The sequence below is a fragment of the Homo sapiens genome, chromosome 1 (genome assembly GCF_000001405.40).
Source record: "Homo sapiens chromosome 1, GRCh38.p14 Primary Assembly".
NCBI classification, from domain to species: domain Eukaryota; kingdom Metazoa; phylum Chordata; class Mammalia; order Primates; family Hominidae; genus Homo; species Homo sapiens.
This window is the reverse complement of record NC_000001.11, coordinates 201,863,046-201,888,280: the sequence shown is the minus strand read 5'-3', so window position 1 is coordinate 201,888,280 and position 25,235 is coordinate 201,863,046. Positions and strand designations below refer to the sequence as shown.

The 25,235-nt window shown below is 44.8% G+C and overlaps 1 protein-coding gene and 1 non-coding gene across 2 annotated transcripts in view, besides 3 other annotated features; both read right to left on the bottom strand.

Annotated features, from left to right (window-relative positions):
- Nucleotides 1-3,989: 3,989 nt before the first annotated feature.
- The window catches only part of IPO9 (importin 9), a 55,135-nt gene continuing 33,889 nt past the window's right edge, over nucleotides 3,990-25,235 (bottom strand). The window contains exons 14-24 of the mRNA NM_018085.5: nucleotides 24,674-24,833; nucleotides 21,322-21,548; nucleotides 19,485-19,633; nucleotides 18,563-18,691; nucleotides 17,423-17,698; nucleotides 16,954-17,120; nucleotides 15,320-15,453; nucleotides 13,909-14,031; nucleotides 13,345-13,449; nucleotides 13,053-13,129; nucleotides 3,990-12,337 (exon numbers count right to left, since the gene is read on the bottom strand). Of these exons, the coding sequence (NP_060555.2) occupies nucleotides 12,227-12,337; nucleotides 13,053-13,129; nucleotides 13,345-13,449; nucleotides 13,909-14,031; nucleotides 15,320-15,453; nucleotides 16,954-17,120; nucleotides 17,423-17,698; nucleotides 18,563-18,691; nucleotides 19,485-19,633; nucleotides 21,322-21,548; nucleotides 24,674-24,833 (1,658 nt within the window). The 3' untranslated portion in view covers nucleotides 3,990-12,226. The remainder of the gene's footprint in view (nucleotides 12,338-13,052; nucleotides 13,130-13,344; nucleotides 13,450-13,908; nucleotides 14,032-15,319; nucleotides 15,454-16,953; nucleotides 17,121-17,422; nucleotides 17,699-18,562; nucleotides 18,692-19,484; nucleotides 19,634-21,321; nucleotides 21,549-24,673; nucleotides 24,834-25,235) is intronic.
- Nucleotides 4,305-4,374: an enhancer, noted in NCBI's record as "active region_2323". NCBI's record gives its function as "activates an Ori minimal core promoter by ATAC-STARR-seq in GM12878 lymphoblastoid cells {active_cell/tissue: GM12878}" and the evidence as "EXISTENCE:reporter gene assay evidence [ECO:0000049][PMID:35858748]".
- Nucleotides 5,475-5,974: an enhancer, noted in NCBI's record as "H3K4me1 hESC enhancer chr1:201851435-201851934 (GRCh37/hg19 assembly coordinates)". NCBI's record gives its function as "activates a minimal SCP1, AML or CMV promoter by ChIP-STARR-seq in primed H9 embryonic stem cells {active_cell/tissue: H9 hESC(primed)}" and the evidence as "EXISTENCE:reporter gene assay evidence [ECO:0000049][PMID:30033119]".
- Nucleotides 19,436-19,651: a silencer, noted in NCBI's record as "fragment chr1:201837758-201837973 (GRCh37/hg19 assembly coordinates)". NCBI's record gives its function as "represses an EF-1alpha promoter that drives an FKBP-Casp9 reporter gene in an ReSE screen in K562 erythroleukemia cells {active_cell/tissue: K562}" and the evidence as "EXISTENCE:reporter gene assay evidence [ECO:0000049][PMID:32094911]".
- Nucleotides 24,834-24,908, bottom strand: MIR6739 (microRNA 6739). Its single transcript, NR_106797.1, has one exon. It is a non-coding gene; the product is annotated as a microRNA 6739 (primary transcript).

The following is a 25,235-nucleotide window of genomic DNA, read 5'->3' as shown; positions in this document are numbered from 1 at the left end:
TGGCCTCACTAGCAGGGAAGGCAGGCTGCTGGGGCCACCTGGGGCCCATCCAGTTAAACACTCTTCACAGTGAAAGCCCTTCACAGAGCAAGCCTGTACTGCAATAGCCACCGGAGCATAGGGAGGGCAACAGTTAATTTCAGGTGGGCAACAGTTAATTCCAGGTGGAGACAGTGTTTTAGGATGGGAGAGGTCAGTCTTCACAGGTTTATACTGAGTGCCAGTGACTATGCCCCATGCTACATGAGGTACCCTCCGAGGAACTGCAAATTAAGCCAGGGAGATCATCAAAAGCCTACCTTAATCCCCTGCCATGTACACCCTTTCACACACTTCTGGGCTTCCACATCTACCTCACTGGAATCTTTCCACAACTCCATGAACTAAGCAAGGTTCATCAGTGTTATCAATCGCATTTCACAGACTGAGAAACTAGGACTCATGGAGGTTAAAGAACTTGTTCAAGGTAATACAGCCAGTAAATGGTAGAGGCATCAGGAAGACCCAAATCTAAATCAGGGTTGATCCCCAGCCGCAACAGCAGACAGTGTAGACAGTGAGTATTTCTTGTGTTCTGGGGTGAGAGAATCAGGACAGGTCCATGGAAGGCCCAGTAGAATCTTAGTAGGTTAGGGAAGGACAGCCGAAAGAGGAGCTACCCCATCCTGGGCCCCTGTGGGTGCTGGCACACCTACCCAAGAGAGCTGGAATAGGAGAGGATAGGCTCCTGCCCCAGAAAGTTGCTGGTAGCCTGATGGGCAAGAGTATGTCCTCACGCAGGACACAGTCATAAATGCAGCAGCAGGGACAAAGAGAAACGCCTCTGAATCCAGCACCACCTACTCAGTGTGCCCATTGCCATCCATCTCCTCTTTCCTACACTAAAAGCTCCATGACTGCAGGGACCACGTGGCTGTGTTCAATGTGGCCATCCAGCCCTAGCCATCAGTGTTGTCATTGTTGGTTGAATCATCTTCAGATAAGGGACTGTCTTTCCTGCCCAGAGCTGAATCTCCCATGTGTACCCTTGACCCCTGCTGATTTGTCTCTTCATTATCCCATCTCTTTAGTGTCTTTAGCTTCTCACACCTTACCAGCTTCTTTTCCCTAGGAAATCTCAAGTCTCTCCTATTTAAAGCAAAGCAAAGCAAAGCAAACCAAACCAAACCACATCCTTCCTAAAACTCATCCCTCTCTAGCTACTTTCCTGCTTTTTTCTCCAACTAGCCTTCCTCAAAGTGTATACCCCTAGTTGACACGCCCTCCTCAAAGTGTATACCCCTAGTTGACACTTCCAGCTTGCAATGACACCTAGCACGCACCAACATCATCAGTGATTTTCTAATTGCAAAATTCTAAGAATGTGTTTCAGTTCATGGGATGGGAGGTGACTAGACTAGGACAGAGAGTGAAGAGAGGGGGCTGTGGGCCAACCAGAGGGGAGAACTGGCTGCACTGGGAGAACTGGCACTTCTTACCTTGACAAGGGATGCTGGAGCTCGGAGATGGAGAGCTGGGGCTAGCTTATGTCGCCATAATGAACCTGGGTCTTGAAAGAGTCTGTAGATTGGCCAGGAGTGAGGAGGGGCTTGGGTGGGAGGACTGGGGGCCCTGGAAGAAGTTGTCTAAATCTTCAGGCCTGGAAGGGCTTCACTACACCTTCTCTAGGTAAGGGCAGGCAGGAATACCCCCCGCTCACCAAGCTGGTCTCTTAATCCCCAGCAAGGGAAAGAAACGCTTTCCTGGAAAAGAGGAGGCAGAGTAATTTGTGATCAGATGAGACAAAACATAGGCTTTGCCAGTAGGAGGTTCTCCTCAGGGTGTCTGGAATATGATGGTAATGATACCACCAGCAGCGAACATTGCTGATGAGCTCATCCCATTGTACAGATGAGGAAACTGAAGTTGGAAGAACTTCAATTCCCCCAGCTCACACTGCTGGGATTTGCAGTTGGACTTTTGTGGCTTCAAAGCCCAGGCCCTTCAGCTTCACCACCTGCTTCTCTTTAAACAAGTCTAAAGGGCCAGGCACGGTGGCTCACGCTTGTAATCCCAACACTTTGGGAGGCCAAGGCAGGCAGATCACCTGAGGTCGGGAGTTGGAGACCAGCCTGATCAACATGTAGAAACCCCGTCTCTACTAAAAATACAAAATTAGCTGGGTGTGGTGGCACATGACTGTAATCCTAGCTGCTCGGGAGGCTGAGGCAGGAGAATCACTTGAACCCGGGAGGCTTGAACCCGGGAATCGCCATTGCATTCCAGCCTGGGCAACAAGAGCGAAACTCCGTCTCAAACAAACAAAAAAACAAGTCTAAAATGTTCAGTGCTATGCCTGGCATAAAAAGCATGTATTCAGGGAAACTTTGATGCCCAGCCCTTATCTCTAGCAGGCCTCTGCATGTGGTGAGAAGGTAGCCAGGGATATCTGAAGTGGGGAAAGGCAGGAGGAGGGGAAGGGCTGGGACCCTGCCTGTGACCCAGTTTGGGCTTGGCTAGGGGCTGTGGTAGGAGTGCTCTGCTGAGTCACCTCACTCCTGGGCTGAATGACCAGCCCAGGGCTCCTCCCAACCTCTTCCATGCTCCTCTATCAGAGCAGACTAACACAGGCATTCCTGAGGCCTTCCTTACTTTCCTGGGCCATGAGCCCTGGAGGCTCCATCCCACCCTGGTCCTACCCCACCCATGCTGTTTGGCCGTGGAGGCTCCTGCCTCCACTTTTGTCTGGCCAGTGGTTTGTTGAACCATTCCAAGATAAGGGAAACTCCATTCCTTTCCTAATTCCTGCCTCTGGTCAGTCAGTGCTCTCCAGGAATGCACTCTACATTACTCTGCCCTCCTTTTTTCTATTCCTCCTTGCCCAGCCTCTGGCAACCCAACTCCTGCAGACAGGTAATTATACATTCCCCCACTCCATAGGACCCTGAGTTCTTTACTCTGATTTAATGTCAGATCCTTCCTGGAGGGTCTTGGACACATTAATTCTCCTTGCAGTCCACAGCTAGGAAGAGTAAGGCCTAGGACAGCACCAGGACTTGGCCAAGTCTCATGGCTTAGTTGGGGAACCAGGTCTTTTGGCTCTCACTGCCCCGGAATAAACAAACATCTCTCTTAAATCAGAATGCTTTTCTTGGCATCCAGCTTTAATCTTTCTTGCTGTAAATGAAAGACTGTCTCCTGTTTGTCCTCTTGGTGGGAGGGACTAGCAAGTGGAGGGTGGGTGAAGGACAGTGAGGATGAGCCTCACTGCTGCCAAGCTACTGGTAAGAAGGTGTACTCTTCCATGTAACAAAGTTGCACAAGTATCCTATACATTTATATATATATATATGGAGCACTCTTCTCCAGAAGGACTTTCTACCAATGCCTTTGTAGGATTGCCTCTCCCAGAACGCCAGGCTTCTGCTTGTTTGTAGAGAGCCCAGGACAGCCTGGGCCTCAGGAAAGAAGAGGGTGTAGCCAGGCTGGCTTGGATGGCAGCTGTGAGCAGCCCCCTACTCAGGCACACTCTGGGTGGCTGTGGGAGCAGCAGCAGTCCCAGGCAGCCAAGGCCTGGCCTCAGGAGCCCAGCCCAGCCAGTGGGGCAGATGGTGAGGGCCAGGTTATCTTTAAATGGCACCTTACTCAGCCTGCCACTCTGCCAGTTGGGCAGGATGGCGGTAGACAAGTGTTATTTTGGGATCTGAGGGCAAGGGAGGAAGGCTCTGTTTATAGCTCTCTCCTTTCTGAACCTACTCTCTCTCCTGGGGAGGATTTGGGGCCATGGGCCTCAGCCCTCCAGCTGACCCTTTCCAACCTAAGGTTTCTGTTTTCAGCCTAGCTGTTAGCCATCTGCACAGATGGGAGTGTTGAATCTACAGAGGCACAGGGTTTCTCAGAAAGGCCAGCTCTGTAAAGGCAGGTTTAGGTGGTGACAACTGCATTAGACTTGGGATCAGACTAATAATAGGTAACATTAACACTTACTATGAGGCAGCACTACGAAGTGCTTTGTGTTATATTAACTTTATTTAATCCTCACAATCACTCCATGAAACAGATAACTAGTATTACACTTGTTCTGTGGATTAGGAAATGGAGACATAATTTAAGCAGCTTGTCCAAAGTCACCCAACAGGCAAGTGGCAAAGCCAGGGTTCAAATCCAGGCAGTCTAGCTCCGGAGCCCATGCTCTGAACCACTAACTAGATATGAGTCCTGCTCTGCCACTTACTGGTTCTGCAAACTTGAAGGAACCACTCCCCCTCTGGTCTTGGCTTCCTCTTTTGGAAACGGACTACCGTTCGGTTCAACCCACTAGAATCCCCAAGTTAGAACTGGCAGAGACACTCTGATCCATTGTGTCTCTCTCCCTGTTCAAGGGAAAAAGAACTTACTCAAGGTCACACAACCGGGCACTGGCCCTAGTTTCTGTGCTCTTGCTGTGAACCTCCCTGTGGCAGGGATGAGTCAGCGGAGCTGACGAGGGATATTAGTTATGAATTTGCAATCACAAAATCAGGTGTGGAAGAAATACATTTATTTTCTTTTAACCAAAATAGATGAGAATGAGTCTCTATCCTGCTACCTGGTTTGTTGTTATTATGGTTTGTTCCCCTCTCCAGAATCACGAAAAGGTCCTGGGGTCTCACACAGTGCAAAACATTGAGGTGAGCCCTCTAAGCCTTGGTCTGCACAGGTTCTGCTCATACATGCTCTTAAGCTTGCAAATTCAGAAGTGTTGGTCTGTGTGCCCCAGGTACAAGAGACCTTCCCAGGGAGCCTTGGTGACCAGGGCCCAGCATCCCTGGGGACTCCATGCAGCCTTTTCCCTAGGAAGTTCTATCATCTCCAGGTGCTTTGCCACAATCAGGGCAGGAGTCTCACCGCTCATAGGCCCCGTGGACTTTTTTGTCCCCTACTTATCTTTTGGAAAACTACCCCCCTTTTTCTCTCCCCTTCTTCCTCCGGGACCCTGGGCCTAATTGCAGTTCACTAGAGCTTTCACCATAGGGTCCAGAAGCACAGCTATTCTCATGCAGTCCTGCTGTCCACCCTACAAAAGCAACTAAGGCAAGGAAATGCAAAGAATTCAGGTATGTTCTTGGACTAAGTTGTTGGGGGGGGGGGAATCTAGTGAAAGCAAATTAATACACCGATAGTTTATGTCACACAGCTAACCACAGAAAAACTGCTTAGTAGGTGGAAGGCAAGAGCTGGGCCTACCACCTGTTTCTATCATGTTCCTCAGGCAGGGCTGCAGTGCTACAATTCATTCCTCAGAGCTGTCCTCCCAAAGGCTCACCAAGACCCTAATTTAGCAGCAGCATGTGTGAAATTGAACTGAGTCACAGTGTAATCCAGTGAGTCAGGAAGAATGAGCCAAACATAGCTCCCAGCTATGGGTGGGGGATAGGATGGGACATCTTCCACCACTAGAGGTGCTTTAATGAAGTCATCCTTAATTCTAACTACAATCCTGTGAGGTAGGTATTAGTTCCCTATTTTACAGATGAGGGAACCAAGGCTTGAAGGAAACGTCACTTGCCGCAGCTATGTAATCATGCCAAGTCAGAACAACTCAAGCCTGGGAGGGACTTCTAGGCCTCCTAGTCAGGCCAGTAGTTCCTCATTGCTTTTCTTCCTACAGCACATTTGCTACCATATCATGTATTCTACACAGGTTTAAAAACCCTAGTATACTTTTCAATTTTAGGAAGCCAGCAGTAATGCCACCCTTTTCCCAGTTACTCAAAAAAGGAAAAAACTGGAATGTAAGTGTCATTAGATGGCAAATGTTGACCTGTACCATCCATTAGGGAAACTTAAATTCACAAAACTTGTTTTTTTTTTTGTTTTTTTTTTTTTTTGAGGCAGAGTGTCGCTCTGTCGCCCAGGCTGGAGTGTAGTGGCATGATCTTGGCTCACTGCAACCTCTGCCTCCCGGGTTCAAGCAATTCTCCTGCTTCAGCTGCCTGAGTAGCTAGGATTATAGGCATGCGCCACCATGCCCAGCTAATTTTTTTGTATTTTTAGTAGAGACGGGGTTTCACCATGCTGGCCAGGCTGCTCTTGAACTCTTGATGTCGTGGTCCGCCTGCCTCGGCCTCCCAAAGTGCTGGGATTACAGGTGTGAGCCACTATGCCCGGCCTACAAAAATTGGAATTTTATTGCGATTACTTTTGGGTGCTTTGCTACTGGAATCTTGGTAAAGTATGGTTAAGACCTAGTCTAAATCCCCGTGAGAATGGGGAATTTTCCCGTGACTGCTAACTAAAGGTCTAGCCTCTGATCGAGCACTTGGATTGATGAGGAGGAACTCACTGCAACATTTTAAGACAATTCATTCCACAGCTCTCACTTTTGGAAAATCCTTACTTGTCAGTCTTTAAGTCCTACTGACTTTATCTTGTCAACATCTCTAATCCAGCTCTTCCACCCTATCCCCTCTAGTTACAACCTTAGTTCAGGCTCTGGGTTTTCCCACCTGGACTGCTGTAGCTGCTGCCAGACTGCATTCCTTTCTCCCATCTCCCACCCCTTCAATCCAGGTTCCAAGTCACCCTTCTAGTCACATTTGCATCAACACTGCAACACTTTTCTAAGACACAAAACCTGATCACTTCCCTGTTTAGTTATCTTGGGTAGTCTCCCATTCTCTAGAGGAAGCAGGTCTTGAAGGATCCTTCACAATCTGCCCCCCACTTGTCCTTCCAGCTTTATTTCTGGCCAGGACTCCCGTGAACTTAAGCATAAATATCAGTACTTGTAACGTGCTTATAAGGTCTGAAAATGAAATTGTTTCATGACGGCCTTTTCTTACTTTTTCTCTGCAATGTCTTACCCCACTCTCATCTGCCTGGCAAATGCACAGGAAAGGCAAAACAAATAGGCAACAAGTACAAGCTGCTTGGACTATAATCACACACTTGCAGGGTGACCTTTGATAGGTTAACAATATCTGTCTGCTTCAGTTTCATCAATCTGTAAAACTGGGTGAGCAAAGTGGACTACTTTGTAAGGTTAGTAGGTGGTCTGAGGTAAAAGTATTTAGCATACCCACTGGCGTTTAAATACTCCAGAAGCAGGTATTGTTAGCTCCTTGCAAGTGTTCAAGGGTTGCCTTCTCCATGCAACTTACCCGACTTCCTCCCCCAGGTTACCATTAGCCAGTTCCTTTTTTGGGCAGTGGGAACTAAACCCAGTACACTTATTTCTCTCACAGCACTCCCCACATTTATTATACTACAGATGCTTTTCAGCTTATAATGGGGCTACATCCCAATAAACCCAACAAAAGTTGAAAATACCGTTAAGTGAAAAATGCATTTAATACACCTAGGCTACCTTAAACCTACTCAGATCACTTACATTAGCTTACAGTTGGGCAAACTCATCTAACACAAAGCCTATTTTATAATAAAGTGTTGAATGTCTCATGTAATTTATTGAATACTGTACTGATTGTATGGATACTTGAAGTACTGTTTCTACCGAATGTGTATAGCTTTTGCACAATCCTAAAGTTGAAAAACTGGAAGTCAAACCATCATTATGTTCAGGCCCATCTGTATTTCTGACCCCCTACTAGACTAGCTCCTTGAGGGAAAGGGCCAAAGCCCTCCAGCATTTAGCACCGGCCTTGCATATCTAATAGAGGTTCATAGTTCACTGAAATGGGGTTGGGGGCAAGAGTAGCCAGAAATTGGCCTTTTATTTCCTACTTACTGATCATGGGTCAGCTTAGCTGGGGTGCAAAAGTATAGTATGTATTTCACTGGACCATCCTTGAACTTCCCAAAGCCATGTCCTGTTTCCTCTTGTCTTCTCTAAGCTAAGCATTCTTAGCTCCTTCAAGCTTCTTTTCCTTGACACGATTTGTCCTCTACATCTTAGCCTTCCTCTGGCAGAGGACTCATCTGTCAGGGAGCCTCCGGTTGAGCACCAGAAGGGAACATGGCAATGAGGATCACTGATAGGCACAGGAAGACTGAAAGGACCTTCCACACTACCCTAGACAACCTGTTTTTATTATCTCATCCTAGAACCACACTGGAGTTTTTTTGGACACATTAACAGTTCCTGGCATAATAAACTTTTTTTTTATTTTAAATTTTAAGAGACAAGGTATTGCCACATTGCCCAGACTGGTCTCAAACTCTTGGGCTTAAGTGATCTGCCCTCCTCAGCCTCCTAAAGTGCTGGGATTACATGGGTGTGGCACCACACCTGGCCCTCCTGGCATAATAAACTTTATTTTTTGAGACAGAATCTTGCTCTGTTGCCCAGGCTGGAGTGCAATGGTGTGATCTCGACTCACTGCAACCTCTGTCTCCCAGGTTCAAGTGATTCTCCCGCCTCAGCCTCCCGAGTAGCTGGGATTACAGGCACGTGCCACCATGCCCAGCTAATTTTTTTATTTTTAGTAGAGGCGGGGTTTCACCACATTGGCCAGGCTGGTCTCGAACTCCTGATCTCAGCTGATTTACCCACCTAGGCCTCCCAAAGTGTTGGGATTACAGGTGTGAGCCACCACACCCAGCCATTAAACTCTTAGTAGCACACAATACTGTTAGTGACAGCACAGTACTCTATAGTCCTCAACTCTGCACAGATGTTATTATCAATCTGCATTTATTGAAATGTTACATTTAGATTCTGCTCATTTTTATAGTTTGTAATGGTATTTGTTTGGATCCTAAATTTGGATTCTAAATTGTCATCCTTCCTAAGGGTTTCTTATTATCTAAAAATTTGATCAGCACTCCTAATTTACTAGTACTATCTCTTGTGTAAATGGCTTCAAATTCTTTTGTGGAATGGGTAAGGCATAAAAAAAGTCATCTGTCACTAATATCAAAGGAGGGGCCAAGGACACAGCCCTGGGGGAACTTACCAGGTCAACCCACAATGGGTGAATTTATAGTTTGTTAGTTAGTGGTCAGTTACCAACTTCTCTGTCTGTCTAATGCTTTGACTAAAATGTCCAGATTATTTACCTAGTTAACAAAATTAAAGAAGATTCTAAGACCAGTTTAGCATCATTTTCTCTGAAGTCCATAATGAATGTCTGTTAAACTCTCGTCACTCTTATTTAGGTGCTTTTGGGTCATTTGTTGTAGGTTCATTCTCCCAAATCAATGTCACATATACGTCTGTAACTTGTGTTATCAGCTTCCTTCCTAGGGCTTTAACTTCTTTTCAGTCTTATAGCATTCCTTCCATTTTCCTTTCAGTTCACTCCAATAAAAGCTCGACAAACTCCTGGGAGCCCCTTGGTGCCCCAGCTGCTGTTTACCAGTCAGGAGACTAAAATGTCTCAGAGCAGCTAAGTGCTCTTTTTTATTTTTACCTCATTTGTCTTACCTTGAACTTTTTAGTTCCTTGTAACCACTTAGCCCTGCCCTTTTCAGACTGAAGCTAGTTCTCTTTGGCCAAAGACAGGAGACAAAATATGGTCTAGAGTTTCTGTCAACATGTACTGGCCTCCAACAGATCTTTTTTCTTCCTGCTGACACTGGACACAGTCTCTCCACTCTTTTTCTCATCAACAGAATGGGAATATCCACTCTGTGAACCTGTTATAAAGGTTAAATGGGATAATGTATATGAAAATGCACTGGAAACACAATTAAGTACCTGCACATCGAGGGGTCCAAGACCTTCTGCTCTCACCCACAGCCGAGTATCTGTTAGCCAGGGGTAGCCCTTAAGTGTTACTAGGGCCCTTTCCTCAGGACTCAAGTTCTCCTGAGGCAGGATGCCCAGTCCTCCCCCAAATCAGCATGAGAGCAGAAAGGACCCTTGCCAAAGGATTTAGGACCACTTTTGGCACTAGATATAGAATGTTTGTCTAATTAGCAGACGCAGAGGGACCCCCATCATTCTCAGTCTGTGTGTGGGAGCCTTAAGCCTTCCCAAGCTCAGCAGTTCAATGCTACTGGCATGAGACCATTCTTTTGTGCCAATATCAGAGGCTGACTTGGCCTTATGCCTTTAGCACCAAATCCGACTGGCACTGCCTTGAGATAAACTATGGAGTCTGCAAGGCCGAGGGTGGTTTTCTCAGCACCACTTGGTCAGATCTGCCATCATTTCCCCAGTATCAGCAACTCCCACAATGCCATGTGAAGCAGCAGGGGCACAAGCAGTTAGCCTCAGAACCTGGCTGGCATGGGACGACTGTGAACATGCCCGCAGGCTTCTCAAAGGTAGTAAAAACTTTTAACTCTACTTCTTCCAATCTCAGTCATGGAGGTTGAACACTGGGGACACCTAGTGGCATGAAGAAATTACCAGCTACAATATCCTTGGGGCCATCCCCTTGAGTGGAGATTCAGATTCACTTTATATTCTTTCTCTTTTTTTTTTTTGAGACAGAGTTTCGCTCCTCTTGTTGCCCAGGCTGTAGTGCAATGGTGCGATCTTGGCTTACTGCAACCTCTGCCTCCCAGGTTCAAGCGATTCTCCTGTCTCAGCCTCCCGAGTAGCTGGGATTACAAGTGCATGCCACCATGCCTGGCTAATTTTTGTATTTTTAGTAGAGACAGGGTTTCATCATGTTGGTCAGGCTGGTCTCGAACTCCTGACCTCTGGTGATCCGCTGGCTTCGGCCTCCGTAAGTGCTGGGATTACAGGTGTGACACACCACGCCCAGCCTATATTCTATTTCTTCTTTGTGAGAATATCAATCTAAAGAAATATCCTGTGGTTATTAAAAATGGGGCACCAGATGTGGGCACTACCAAAAAAAGGGGAACACAGGTTTCATCTTTCTCCCCATGATTTGTGTGTGTGTGTGTGTGTGTGTGTGATTGAGTCTTGCCTTGGAATGCAACGGTGTGATATCGGTTCACTGCAACCTCTGCTTCCCAAGTTCAAGCGATTCTCCTGCCTCAGCATCTCAAGTTAACTGGGATTACAGGCATGCACCACCATGCCCAGCTAATTTTTGTATTTTTAGTAGAAATGCAGGTTTCACTGTGTTGGCCAGGCTAGCCTCAAACTCCTGATCTCAAGTGATCCGCCCATCTCAGCCTCCCAAAGTGCTAGGATTACAGGCGTTAGCCACCGCGCCCAGCCTCTCTCCATGATTTTCTAATCCTCATTTACTCTTTGAACCCCAAACAGACTAAACTTCCCAATTAAGGAATCTCCCTTAAAAATATTTGATTAAACAATGCCAGTTCTTTAAGAATCATTTCAGGCTATGTTTGCCAAGACACACTAGAATGTTTAGACAGGCTCCACCTAATCCTTTCCCCCATTACTTTTACTTACCTTCTAAAGGGAATAGAAGGCAAACAGGTGCTGAGACACCTTATACCATGCAACTAAATTCATTTGTAAAGATTACTTTACTGTCCTAGAAAAATACATGTTGCAAATTTGAGGGCTACAACTTAAGCACTTTAGAGGCTTCCTGAGGGAAAGGGGATAACCTTTGAATATCAGACTCTGTGGTAATGTGTGGGAGAGGCATATTAAATATAGTTGGGTCAGGTGGATTTAAAAAAAATCCCTTTTCCCCATTTTTTTTTTTTTTTCTAAAAAAGGAAGATCAAATTGCCATCTGTCTGGCTTATTTTGTGTGTGCATGTATATATAGGAACAGCTTGAGGGGAAGGGTTATGTCATGCAATGAAGCAAAAACAAGACGACCTCCTCTGACAGAGGAGCCTTAGTGTTGTAGAAGAGAAGCAAGGCTGAGGTCACTGGAAAGGCTTAGAATGAAGCTGCTCTTGCCTGTTCCTCCTGAGAACCCAGAGCAGCAGTGGTCCAGGGCACAAAGCATAATGATCTCTCATGAGGATTCCTATCTGAACACATCAGAAGTCCTATGAACATAGATAGGTCTGTTTTAGAATATAAATGGTAGTGACTTCCTGCGCTCCTGAGGCGGGGCAAAATAATCCATAAACACATAATCCTTCTGGGCAATAATGTTTCTGGACTCGCCAGCAGAGGGCTCTAGGAACAGAGGTGGGGGTAGAGTCGGGGAGAAAAAAGGTTCTAGAGATGGCATGTCTTCAGGGGAACTTTGAGAAATGTCCTTTGTTCCAGCATTCCTAAGTGACGGCACCGGTGAGCCTGGTCTGAATTGTCATCAGTGTCACTGCCGAGGCCAAGGGCCAAGGGTCAAGATGCCACTTTAGGTTGAGAAGAAAGTGCATCTCAAGGCCAGTGAGGGCTGCAAAATGGTTTGCGGCTGGCCCAGAAGGAGCAAATGTAGAAAGGCTCCCCTTTTTAGATGCCGATGGTCTGTAGAACTCGCCTCTCATTGTCATTAAGGTGGCCTGAAAACATTATGTAGCAGGGCTGCTGAGCAAACTGGCAGAGGAAATCTGTGAGATATGCCTGGAGGAAAGAGCAAGAGTGGCATTAGTGAGACATTGCAAGTCACCCATTTGCAGTGGAGCAAGAACCACAATCAAATGGCACAGGGAATGCTGGTTTTTAGACAAATGCCAGCTCCCTGAGGGATGGTCTTTCATGTTCTTGGATCTAGTTTAGGTAATCCACAGGGAAACAACATTTTTCCAAGGCTGTATCACCCCAAGGACCTTCACAACATAGCCTCTAGAAGATGAATTACAACACATCAAGTGCAAAGTTCCAGCCCACCCAAAACCCTGGACCACTCAACAAGACAGGAACTCTTTCCCATGAGGCTCCCATGTTAAATTATAAATGGATTTTTTTTTTTTTTTGAACACAGGGTCTTGCTTTGTCGCCCAGGCTCGAGTGCAGTGGTATGATCACAGCTCACTGCAGCCTTGACCTCTTGGCCTCAAGCGATCCTCCCACCTCAGCCTCCCGAGTAGCTGGGACCACGGGGGTGTGCCACTATGCCCAGATAATTTTTAAATTATTTGTAGAGACAGGGTGTCCCTGCATTGCTCAGACTGGTCTTGAACTCCTGGGCTTAAGCAATCCTCCCGCCTTGACCTCCCAAAGTGTTGGGATTACAGGCATGAGCCACCATGCCTGGCTATAAATGGATTTGAGCCCATATTCCTGTTTCCATGGCCTGGGACATTGTCATTTGCAAGATATCTCTGGACACCCTCACCTGCAGATCAATCTGATAGAGAGGATCCTTCAGGGCATCAGGGTCATCTTCCTCATCATCCTCGTAGTAATCCTCCTCTGTTAGACATAGCCAACACAGGGCGGGTCAGGACAAAGGCCCATGATCAGGCCCTGAGTGGTGATATACTACCACATGACTGAGGCGGAAGGTGCAAAAGCCCAAGAAATGTCCCTGTGGGCCCACCTCTCCCCTTTCTTGGGTACCCCACTGTTGGGATCAGTGTGCAAAGAAAAGGTATTTACCATGGCTGTCCTCTTATCAAACAGCTTACCATATTTACTTGTAGCAAGAATGTCAGATAAAAGTTGGCCAGCTAAACCATCCTCCTCCTCCTCCTCTTCCTCCTCCTGGTCCTCCCACATATCATTGGAGTCATCTACTTGGAGATGAAAAGCAGCTAGAGCTAGAGCACATTCATGCATTTTCCCTCCCCAAATCCAAATAGGCCAGAATAGAAGGGCCCCAAAGGCTTCTGCAATGTGGCTTGTAGTCCCCAGTGAAAGAGAATCAGAAATGGCCAAACCCTCCTGGTTAGTCTCAATGAAAGAACCTGGAGATATAAGTGTTGACAGGCTCTTAAGAAGAATCAAACCAAAGAAGGGCTATGTTAGCTTGCCTCCTGGCTGCCTCCCACCCCAGCCTCTGTGAGATTTCATATGGCAGACTGGAGAAGCAGCTCTACATGCCTAGTGCCTAGCATGGTGCCAGCCACAGAGCAGCCATTCCATCAACTTTTTTTTTCAATTAGTGACTCAACAAACCAAGTTGATAATTTGACAATTTGTAACTTGATCTGCCAGGCTAAAAGTCTCCTGGGAGTAAGGGCCTGGTGCACCTTGACTCCACTCTGCAGGAGTGGCCTGGCGAGCGGCATTAGCCTCCATGACGTTGGAGAGCTCGTTGATGATCAGCTTTAGGATCTTGACCAGCAAAGGAATGTTTGTCCAGCGTTCTGGGTCTGGGAAGGAAGAAAAAGGTTTCAAGTCAGAGTGTCACTGAGCTTACTTCTGGAAGTACCCCTGTCCTCTCCTCAGTGCCACTCACCAGAGTTCACCACCCCTCAGACTTTCACTGTACCTGACTATATCCAGTCTCCAAAGAGTGACTTAAAGTTAAATAACTTTATTGTTTGGTATTGTAACAGTTCAGAAGCTGGGAGAGATGAGAGTTCAGGGATTAAAGGAGATACAGTCTTGTTAGTAATAAAGCTCTGAAACCAAGGAACTGTATAGAGCCAGTACTCCAGTCCCAATGACTTAGAATTTGAGAGACAGCGGAGGTAATTATAAATCTACATTAAAGATAGCAGCTCTATACTCCCTACCTGCAAATCATTGGAGTTACAGGCCAAAGGCAACTCAGTAACAAAGACATGCTGACTATCTGTGCCCACGCTTCTGAATGAAGCTGGAAGCTGGGATGCTTGGTGCCTGAGACTATTTTTGTCTTTTTTTTTTCTTCAGACAGAGTTTTGCTCTTATTGCCCAGGCTGGAGTGCAATGGCGTGATCTTGGCTCACTGCAACCTCCACCTCCCGGGTTCAAGCGATTCTCCTGCCTCAGCCTCCCGAGTAGCTGGGATTACAGGCATGCGCCACCATGCCTGGCTAACTTTGTATTTTTGGTAGAGACGGGGTTTCTCTATGTTGGTCAGGCTGGTCTCGAACTCCCGGCCTCAGGCGATCCACCCACCTCGGCCTCCCAAAGTGCTGGGATTACAGGTGTGAGCCACCACGCCTGCATTTTTTTTTTTTTTTTTTTTTTGAGACGGAGTCTCATTTTGTTGTCCAGGCTGGAATGCAGTGGCACGATCTTTGCTCACCGCAACCTCTGCCTCCCAGGTTCAAGCGATTCTCCTGCCTCAGCCTCCCAAGTAGCTGGGATTACAGGCGCCCACCACCATGCCTGGCTAATTTTTGTATTTTTAGTAAAGACGGGATTTCACCATGTTGGTCAGGCTAGTCTCAAACTCCTGACTTCAAGTGATCCATCCGCTCTGGCCTCCCACCAAGTGCTGGGATTACAGGCGTGAGCCACCATGCCCGGCCTATTTTTGTCCATTTTCCACAACAGGAAGAAACCGTATGTTCTGATCCCTTTTACCTAAGTTTCCTGCTTCTTCTTTATCAAACCCATCACCAACAATTGTTTTAAAAATATACACCACAGTGCATTCCTTCCCTTCACCCAGGTATCCTTAGCCCCTTCGTATAGGGAGAGGATTGGAAGAATCGCAGCAGCACCCACTTTTGGCTGACTTAGAGCGGGTGCGGATGCCCTCATCCATGCTGTAGATCTCCTCTCCCTTCACACGGATATCCTGTAGCCGTTTGTCATCTGCATTGATGCCATGCTGGAGCAGCTTACAGAGTGCCACAGAGCTGGCAAGGAAGATCCAAAAAAAGGTCAATCAGCCGCCCATCTCGAGTTCACTCCAAGGAGATAAGCAATTATGTCCTAAGACCCTCTATTTGATAGTGAAAATTCCGTTAACAACTAATTAGGAGAGCTAAGAGAGTTCAGCTGAAAATGAGATTTTAGAGTTCATGAGGTGGTTTAATGAGATCTGTGCTTTTTTGTTGTTGTTGTTGTTGTTGTTGTTTTTGAGATAGGGTCTCATTCTGTCACCCAGGCTGAGTGCAGTGGTGTGATCATGGTTCACTGCAGCCTTGACCTCCCTGGGTTCAGGTGATCCTCCCACCTCAGCCTCCCAAGTAGCTGGGACTATAGGCATGCGCCACCGTGCCTGGCTAATTTTTGTATTTTTTTGGTAGACACAGGTTTCACCATGTTGCCCGGGTGGGTCTCAAGCAATTCGCCCACCTCAGTCTTCCAAAGTGCCGGGATTACAGGTGACCTGTTCTTCTTGAACAAAGCTAAGGTTGCACCATATTGTAAGGTGCAACGAGGTGATAAGAATCAGTGGTATAAAAATCCAGGATAAAAAGTTAGGAAGCCAGGGTTAGAAGGTTGGGTTTTTTATTTTTATTTTTCTGAGACAATTTCGCTCGTCGCCCAGGCTGAAGTGCAATGGCGTGATCTGCCTCCTTGGTTCAAGCGATTCTCCTGCCTTAGCCTCCCGAGTAGCTGGGATTACAGGCACCCACAACCACATCCAGCTATTTTTTGTATTTATAGTAGAGACAGTGTTTCACCATGTTTGCCAGGCTGGTCTTGAACTCCTGACCTCCGGTGATCTGCTCGCCTCAGCCTCCTAAAGTGCTGGGATTATAGGTGTGAGCCACTGTGCCTGGCCAAGGCTTGGGCTTATAAAGGAAAATAAGCCACTAGCAGCACTTAGCTGTGTGAAGTCTGTGGTAGAGAAGGGATCTCTTGTAAACAGAGACCAGAAATATATAGTCTACCTGTGTTGACTGTCTTTTGGGGATTTCAAGATGGCAGCTATTCACATATGTGCGTTAGCAATAAAGAAAGACAGGGAAAAGGGAATACAGAGAGCCATTTGAAATGTCAAACAAAAATCAATGGAGCAAATCAGGAAAAAAAAGAAATATGTGTCAGGAGCAGTGGCTCACACCTGTAATCCCAGCACTGTGGGAGGCCGAAGTGGGTGGATCACTTGAGGTCAGGAGTTCAAGACCAGCCTGGCCAACATGGTGAAACCCTCTCTCTACTAAAAACACACACACAAAGAATTCACTGGGTATGGTGGTGCATGTGTGTAATATTCGGACGGCTGAGGCAGGAGCAGGAGAATTGCTTGAACCTAGGAGGTGGAGGTTGCAGTGAGCCAAGATTGTGCCACTGCACTCCAGCCTGGGCGACAGAGCGAGACTGTCTCAAAAAAAAAAAAAAAAAAAAAAAAAAAAAAGAAATATGAGTGGTGGCAGAATGCCCAGAAAAGAAAGATGAGGTTCTACCTGACTTTGCCTTCATACTGTCCATAGAACAGGTGCTGTCGGCTTGTCCACTCAGCCATCACAAACTCTAGAGCAGGTTTGCCAGTAGGTCCTGGGAGGCTACACAGGAACTCCAAGAGAGGTTCTAGCTGAGTGTGCACCAGATGAGCGAACACCATGATCAGGGACTAGGAGAAAATAAGGACATTTGCTTCAGGGAAATCAATTTCAGAGACATAGGAGATGAGAGGGAACTGGCCAGTCAGATAAGAAATACAGTCTACACTGAGGGTATTATCCACAGGACAAGAAAACATGGGAGATTTCCTTGTCCATGTTTCTTAGGCCAAACAGATCAGACAGGTCCCATTTTACTTAACTGTCCTACAAGGCTAGTAAGAGGGTAAAATAAAATAACTCAGGACCAAAATACGAATTTTCATTTCTATCAGCCAGGGAGTAGGAAGCCCACTCCCCACTGCTCTCTTACCTGCATGACACTGAGCGTCTCTGCCTGCTGCATCTTACTGAGGATGGCACGAAGAATCTGGTCTAGATTCTCCCCGAGTTCCCGCCCTGCCTTGGAGATGAGGGTGGAAACAAGGCGGCCCACAAAGGCCGCAGTGAACTCTGAGGTGCGGGGGTCCAGGAGCTGGCTCACCACTTGCATCACATACCACAGTCCATTGTGGCCCTGCTCATCATGCCACTGGGCTACTTGTTCCAGGGTCACTGACACATAGGCCCGCAAGCACTCTCCGCCATTCTGGGGAGACAGGGGTGGCAAGCAAGATTAGTAATCGAGGGACAGATGCCAGAAGGCCCTCAGTCTGTATAAACAAATGTTCCCAGAGGCCTATGCCTCATAAAAGCGGTGAGTCTATAATGTTTGTGGTGGGCTCATACCACTGGAGTTAAGACATTTACTGTTACAGACATAGACGTGCATTACATAATTCCCCCTTTACCTAATCAGCTATCTCACAAATGTGTATATATATTTTTTTAATCACAAGGGACAATGGCCAAGCAAAATGAATTTTAATCATAAAGGTCTACCTCTGGTACTAAAAAAATATGCTTACAATCTTGGAATAACTGGGGATACTGTAGGTCTTTATATAGGTCTTACACAAACCACTAGTTGCCTAGGGATTTCCAAGCTGATCAATATTCACTGGCAAGTTCCTATAACCTTTCTAATCAATCACAGTAGCAGACACCTGAAAAGGTAACCAATTCACCCAAGAAACAAAAAGAGAAAAAATATTCAGGCATGTCTCCCCTCTCTAGAGGCCCATCACTCTGCTGACTTTATTACTAGAAGAAATATGCAGAAAGACTTTCTTATGGCCCCAAGTCTAGATGTCTGTAACCTCTTTCACAGTAGCAATACCCAATACAGATGGGCAGGGTGCTTGGTATCCATATTTTTAAAAACTGTAACATGCTCCAAAGCACCAGAAATGCTTGGCTTTTGCAGACTGAACCCTTCCTGAATCTGCTAAGTAAATATGGAGTTGAGAATTCCGTATTTCAAAAGCATAAAACCATGTCAGATTTCTCAGCATAGTATAAGCCCATGGCTGGGGAGCTATCTTCCCTCTTCTACTCTCCATGTCTCAGATACCTGCATGGTGGCATTGTCATCTGTGTGAAGGGTACACTGTGCCACAGCAGGGAAAGCTTGGCAGATGAGAAGCTGGGAAAGGGGAGGCTTTGTATTTCGTACTACTGTTGTCAGGATATCAATGGCTGTCTGAAAGAGAGAAGAAAAAGAAAAGTCAGAATTGCCTCTGGGGTGGGGGTTGCCCAACAACCAAGATCCTTACTGGATGGGTATTACATAGCAACCCAGAGAAAGCTTATTAATGAAAGGCAAGTTTCCAAAATAAAAGGAATAATTAAATGGGTAGTACTCTCAGCCTTCTCATAATAGCTTACTAATTGATTAGCCATAGGGGTGGGCAGTAGTACATGGTAGTGGATTGGATAACCAGGTGACATACTTAGTGGCACTGTGTAAAGGTGGCACTCTGTTCAATTCACTGAGGGTACCTCTGGAACAAGAAGAGCCATTTTCTTTCTTTCTTTCTTTTTGAGGCAGTCTCGCTCTGTCACCCAGGCTGGAGTGCAGTGGCACGATCTCCACTCACTGCAACCTCTGCCTCCTGGGTTCAAGTGATTCTCCTGCCTCAGCCTCTTGAGTAGCTGGTACTGCAGATGCCTGCCACCATGCCCGGCTAATTTTTGTATTTTTAGTAGAGATAGGGTTTCACCACATTGGCCAGGCTGGTCTCGAACTCCTGACCTTGTGATCCACCCACCTCGGCCTCCCAAAGTGCTGCAATTATAGGCATGAGCCACCGCGCCAAGCCAAGCCATTTTCTTAAAGCTTCAGAGAATCACCCACTGTCCTTGCAGGCAAAAGAGCTCAGCAAAATCACCCCATGAATCTCTAACGCTATTAGGTTCTTGTCAGCTAGATGCATCTGTGGGTGGCACTTGTAGATCTCTCTCACACACACACACACACACACACGGCCACTTACCGCACAAAGCCCTGCAGGAATCTTGTCTGCTGGGGCCTGCATTATGCTGACCAGAGTGGGAATCAGCCTCATTTGCATTGGGCCCTGACAGGCTTCAATCTGGGACAGCTCCTTGAAGATGTCCTGAGCCAGTGAGGCGACGACGGGATCTGAAGTGGATAAGGCAACACGGAATCCCCCTGCCTGATGGTCTGCATCTGCTTCTCGCTTAATGATGCCTGTTGTTTGGCCCTAACCTAAGTTAACAACTTCTGCATTGATTACTTATCACATACCCGGGACCTAGTGGGGCCACATGAATAACCTGAAAGAACAGGAGAGATCCTAAATCTGCAAGAGGTACACTTTGTATGGCTTCATTAAAGTAGGGACTAGTCATTAACAGCTACTCATAAAACAAAATGTGGCTTTTTCTAGAGAAAAATCTTTAAAGTCTTTATTCTTGTGAAACCTACGTTATAAAACCAAATGCTTAAAAAAAAAAAAAAAGCCCAACTGATACTTTAAGAAGACATGAAAGCTGCAAAAATTGCCAAAACACTGGCTTTGATGCATGAGAGAAATCATACATATCTCCTATGGGGTAGCCACGGTAGACATGAAGAACTCTCAAAGCTACTTCTGGGGCAAAAGGCAAAACTCCTAAAAAGCAGAGCCTTATGAAGAAAGGGAACTTTAGCTCAATCTTCTTTATCTATAGAACAAAACATCCTCCTCTATTTAGTATGGAAAAATATAGGCAATGTGCATTAAAGTATACCTTAAAAGATCACTGCAGCATTGTTTGTAATAGAAAAAAATTGGGAATACCCTAGATGTCCATTAACAGAATGGGTAAATTATGATATACCCATTTTATGGAACATTAGTAATGGCTGAAAAGAATGAGATATATCCAAGAACACAATGTGGAAAGCTCCTCAGTACACATTTTTCAGTGAAAAAGCTATCAAATAACATGTTCAGTATATCACATTATATAAATAATCCTTATCCTGTACATCTTTCTGAGCTTCAATATTGGAGCTCTCTCTTTAAAAAAAGAATCCTTAATATTTTACTAGTAATAAGGTATTAATAAATACATTCACTACAGGAAAAAAAAAACTTAAAATGCAGAAAAGTAATAATGAAAACACCTGTAATTCCACTACCTAAACACTCAACATTTTGATGTATTTTTTTTTAAAACATACCTATCTATACATACATGCTTTTCTAAAAGAAAAATCAAAACTTGGGATCATATTCTATGGATTTTTTGGGAAAAGTATCTTTTCATTTATTATAATGTAAGCTCTTTCCCATGGTTTCAGATATTCCTTTTAAGCTTGATTTTTAATGGCTGCACAGTATTTCATTTTATGGATATAATTAACTAATGTCTTTTTATAATTTCCAAATTTTTACTACTGTAAAAAATATCTAGTGAATACCTTTGTTTATAAACTTTTCCATATATCTTTCTTTAGTATCTCCTTTTCTAAATTATAGTCCTAGCCCTTTTCTTTTAGGAGGCTTTTCATTTGCCCAATTTCCTATTCTATCATCAAAGTTCTGAATTATGTCTCTTGCTTATTAGCCCTTTATTTATTATCTTTATCCCTAAGTCCTTACTAGAGAGTAAGTGTTACAGAAATAGGTACTCTATTTTTTAATGCTGCTACATTTACAGCACAATTCTATTTTTTGCTAATTGAAAGCCAGATTCTTTGCTTACGATGTTAAAACCATAGCTTCATAGCTAAGACCAGACCTAGGGAATCTTTCATTTAAATTCACCAGCCACCACCTTTTCTTTGGTGCCCCTCATAATACATCCTCCCTGGCAGCATACCATTACTGTACTTTAGGAAAATGGCGATGGTGAAGGGGCAGATTTTGCTTTCCATGCTTGCTGTGAATTCGGGGTCTACTGTACAAACGATGCACAGGGTCTCCATCACCAGGTTGAGGACCTCTGAGCTGAACTGGGCTGCTAGGTGAATTAAGCCATCAAGGATGCTGGGGAGGAAGGGCTGGAGCACGTGGGTACTCTCTGAGACTTTCAGTTGGTCACAATAACTAGAGAGAGATAGATAAGCAAGAATTATTAAAAAAAATTCAATTCCTGGTTTTCCCAATCAATCTCACATATTATAGCATTTGTATGTGTAGCTTTATAAAGCTAATTCTAAAGTTAGGTTTAAGTTTCTACTTCTTTCTGGATGTATTATATAAACATCAACACCACCATTTCTATGTTCTGTAATTTATTTCTTTGACTTTTGCTATTTTCTTTAAAAACTTCTGCTTTTTTTCTTGAGGTTTTTTTTTTTTGCATCCTGAAACAAGCTTAATTTATATAAACATTTTATGTTTCACTTTCAAAATCAGCCTATTAGCTGTAGGATTTAAAGTTCCCTCTATAGTTTTACTGTATTAGCCTCTTTTCAATCAACAAATATTTACTGAATGTTGCTTATCATGTCCAATATGATACAATTGTTAAAAATACATTGTCTAGGACCAGGCACGGTGGCTCACACCTGTGATCCCAGCACTTTGGGGGGCCAAGGCAGGTGGCCCAGTTGTTCTCTTCGAACTTGAGACAGAGGTACTTCAGAAGAAAGTCATATTATGTCAGGCAGTATAGGAAGCCACAGGATATATATATAATATTTTCGTGGGACATCAGTTTCCCCTGGAGACTTCAGGGTAAAGAGAAGATTAGGTGTTAGGAGTAACACAAGTTAAAGAAACACCGACTTCCAAAATAAAGTCCAACCTCTTTCAGCATGGCATTTAAGATCCAGCATGATGTAGATAGATGATGCAAACTCTGTAATCTACCATACGGTACAGTTTCAAGTTCATTAGAGGGGCAAAGTAACTATAAACCCTTAGAATAGAAGTGGGAAATGGAGCGAACTCCTGACCTCAGGTGATCCACTTGCCTTGGCCCCACAAAGTGCTGGGATCACAGGTGTGAGCCACCGTGTCTGGTCCTAGACAATGTATTTTTAACAACTGTATCATATTGGACATGATAAGCAACATTCAGTAAATATTTGTTGATTGAAATGAGGCGAATACAGTCTGACATAAATTTGAGTTGAAAAATGTGAAACAAGTATAATTATTTGTCAATCAGTATCTTGTTTCAGAGATTATTTAAGGGAGTTTGCAATGATACATAAACTATGACATGAAGGAATAAATTAAAACTGGGGCTAAAGAAAAAAAGAAAAGCAACGGTGGAATGCTGATCATTAAAAGGTTACTAGTGACATTAGAAAAGACAGCTGCAGGCCGGGCGCGGTGGCTCATGTCTGTAATCCCAGCACTTTGGGAGGTGGGGGCGAGCGGATCACCCGAGGTCAGGAGTTTGAAACCAGCCTGACCAACATGGAAAAACCCTGTCTCTACTAAAAATACAAAATTAGCTGGGTGTGGTGGCACATGCCTGTAATCCCAGCTGCTGGGGAGGCTGAAGCAGGAGAATTGCTTGAACCCAGGAGGCAGAGGTTGTGGTGAGCCGAGATCGCGCCACTGCACTCCAGCCTGGGCGACAGACAGCAAGACTCCGTCTCAGAAAAGAAAAAAAAAAAAAAAAAAGAAAAATAGTTCCAATAGTGTGACACGGACATAAGCCAGTCTGCAATTGGCTGGTAAACTAAATAGGAAATGACCAAAGGGAAACTCTTGACTGAAAGAAAGATAGCTAATGATCCATTCATAGGACAGTTCTTAATCGGGATCCACAGATAGGCTTCAAGGAATCCAGTGTTTGACAATGAATATAAAATTTTGTAAACATATATGAGTGTCCATTTCTCTGGCCCACATATCCACAGCTTTTGTCATCCTACAGAGATATCTGTTACATCTCTCAAGAAAACTATTAAACCACTACCCATGTGGTCCAAGAGATATGAACATTAAAAATAAAAGTTTTCTTCACAGTTCTTCTGATTATAAAAGTAATATAAACTTGTTGAAACAAACAAACAAACAAAATATTTTATATATATAACAGAGAATGAAAGTTCTTTGTACTCTAATCTCCCCCAGAGAGAATCAATGTTGGTAAGTATGCCTGATAGGTACTGCTGTCTACCTAAAACACTCTGGAAAGTAATGGGCTTATTTTACCCAAAGTACTTTCACATTCATACCAAACTCCTCTCACAGCTTGCAGCTGCAAACATTTCCATAAAATCACAACACAAAGTGGATAATTCTCCAATGAAATCAAGTTTCACTAAGGTCAGAAGCTAAACAGGCAGTGACCACAGGTACAAACTCAGAAAAACCCTTAAAATAACATTCATGCCTTAAGCAGCTTAGGGCTCTCTCTTCTCAGACATTTAAAATGGTGTTAGAGCTTTCTGAAAAAGCTATACTTAGTTTGCCTCTTAAGATGATACTTCTAATTATTTTAGAGCCAAAGATCTGCTTCACCTAGATTGAAGCAGAAAAAGATGGGACGGTGTTTATGGTCATAACATTAACCATTTAATTAAAACAGGCAGTTCTTGAATGCTTTCTAATGACATATAACACACGGCATCTCAAAAGATACTCCTCTGCCTCAAAAGATAAGACAGGGCAGGCACATGGAAAATAAATTTTGTGTTGGTAGTTATAGGATTCAGTTGAGATGTTTAAGTTTGAGCCTAAGATATTCCTTAAAACAACAATGGTCCTTCTAGTCTGCGTAGGAATATAAATAAATGACTTTTGATCCATTAGTAACACTAGCCTTAAAAAAGATAGGTAAAACTGGGAAAAAATAAGCAGTGTTTCTAGGTCACATTATCCCAGATTTGGTTTCTAATATAATCAACCAACAAAATGATGTGGACTCTAATCCTGCTTCTATCATTCATCAATTGTGCAACCCTGTGCAAAACATTTTTCTCTCCAAACCTCAGGTTCTTCACCATTGAGAGAAAGGGAGTTGCCTAGATGATTCCAGAACTGGAGCGAATTTAAAGAGGAAGAGGAGCAGAAAGGAACAGGACATCTTCTGGACTCACAAAAGCCATGTCTCTAGCATGGTTTCTTTCCCTGTCCTTCCAACATTCACCCTGAAGGATATCATTAGCAGGGATTTCCAAGCAACATAATACACTGGAAAACTGTGATTTGTTATATCTAACCTGAGCAACTTTCCCTTAATTATCACGCTAGGGTAGCATACTCACCCCCAGATGGCTCTCACTGCAGAAATTCGAACTGATGGGGGCTGTGTCTCGTGAAGACCACTAACTGTTGCCTGTAGGAACTGCTGGATCAGTTCAGGGGACATAGCAACAGTGAACCGACTGGCAGCCCAAAGTGCCCGGCCCAAGAGGAAAGGAGACACTGGGAGAAAGACAGAACAATTAGGGGCTGGAAAATGAAAATTCCTTTTACTTGTTCTTTCTCTTTCCCACATTCATTCCTCAATTTTTTTTTTTTGAGATGGAGTCTCACTCTGTCACCCAGGATGGAGTGCGATGGCGTGATCTCGGCTCACTGCAACCTCCGTCCCCCGGGTTCAAGCAACTGTCCTGCCTCAGCCTCCTGAGTAGTTGGGATCACAGGCGCCTGCCACCATGCCCGGCTAATTTTTTGTATTTTTAGTAGAGATGGCGTTTTGCCATGTTGGCCAGGCTGGTCTCAAACTCTGGACCTCAAGTGATCTGTCTGCCTCGGCCTCCCAAAGTGCTGGGATTACAGGCATGAGCCACCGCATCCGGCCCTCCATTCCTCAATTTTTTAGAA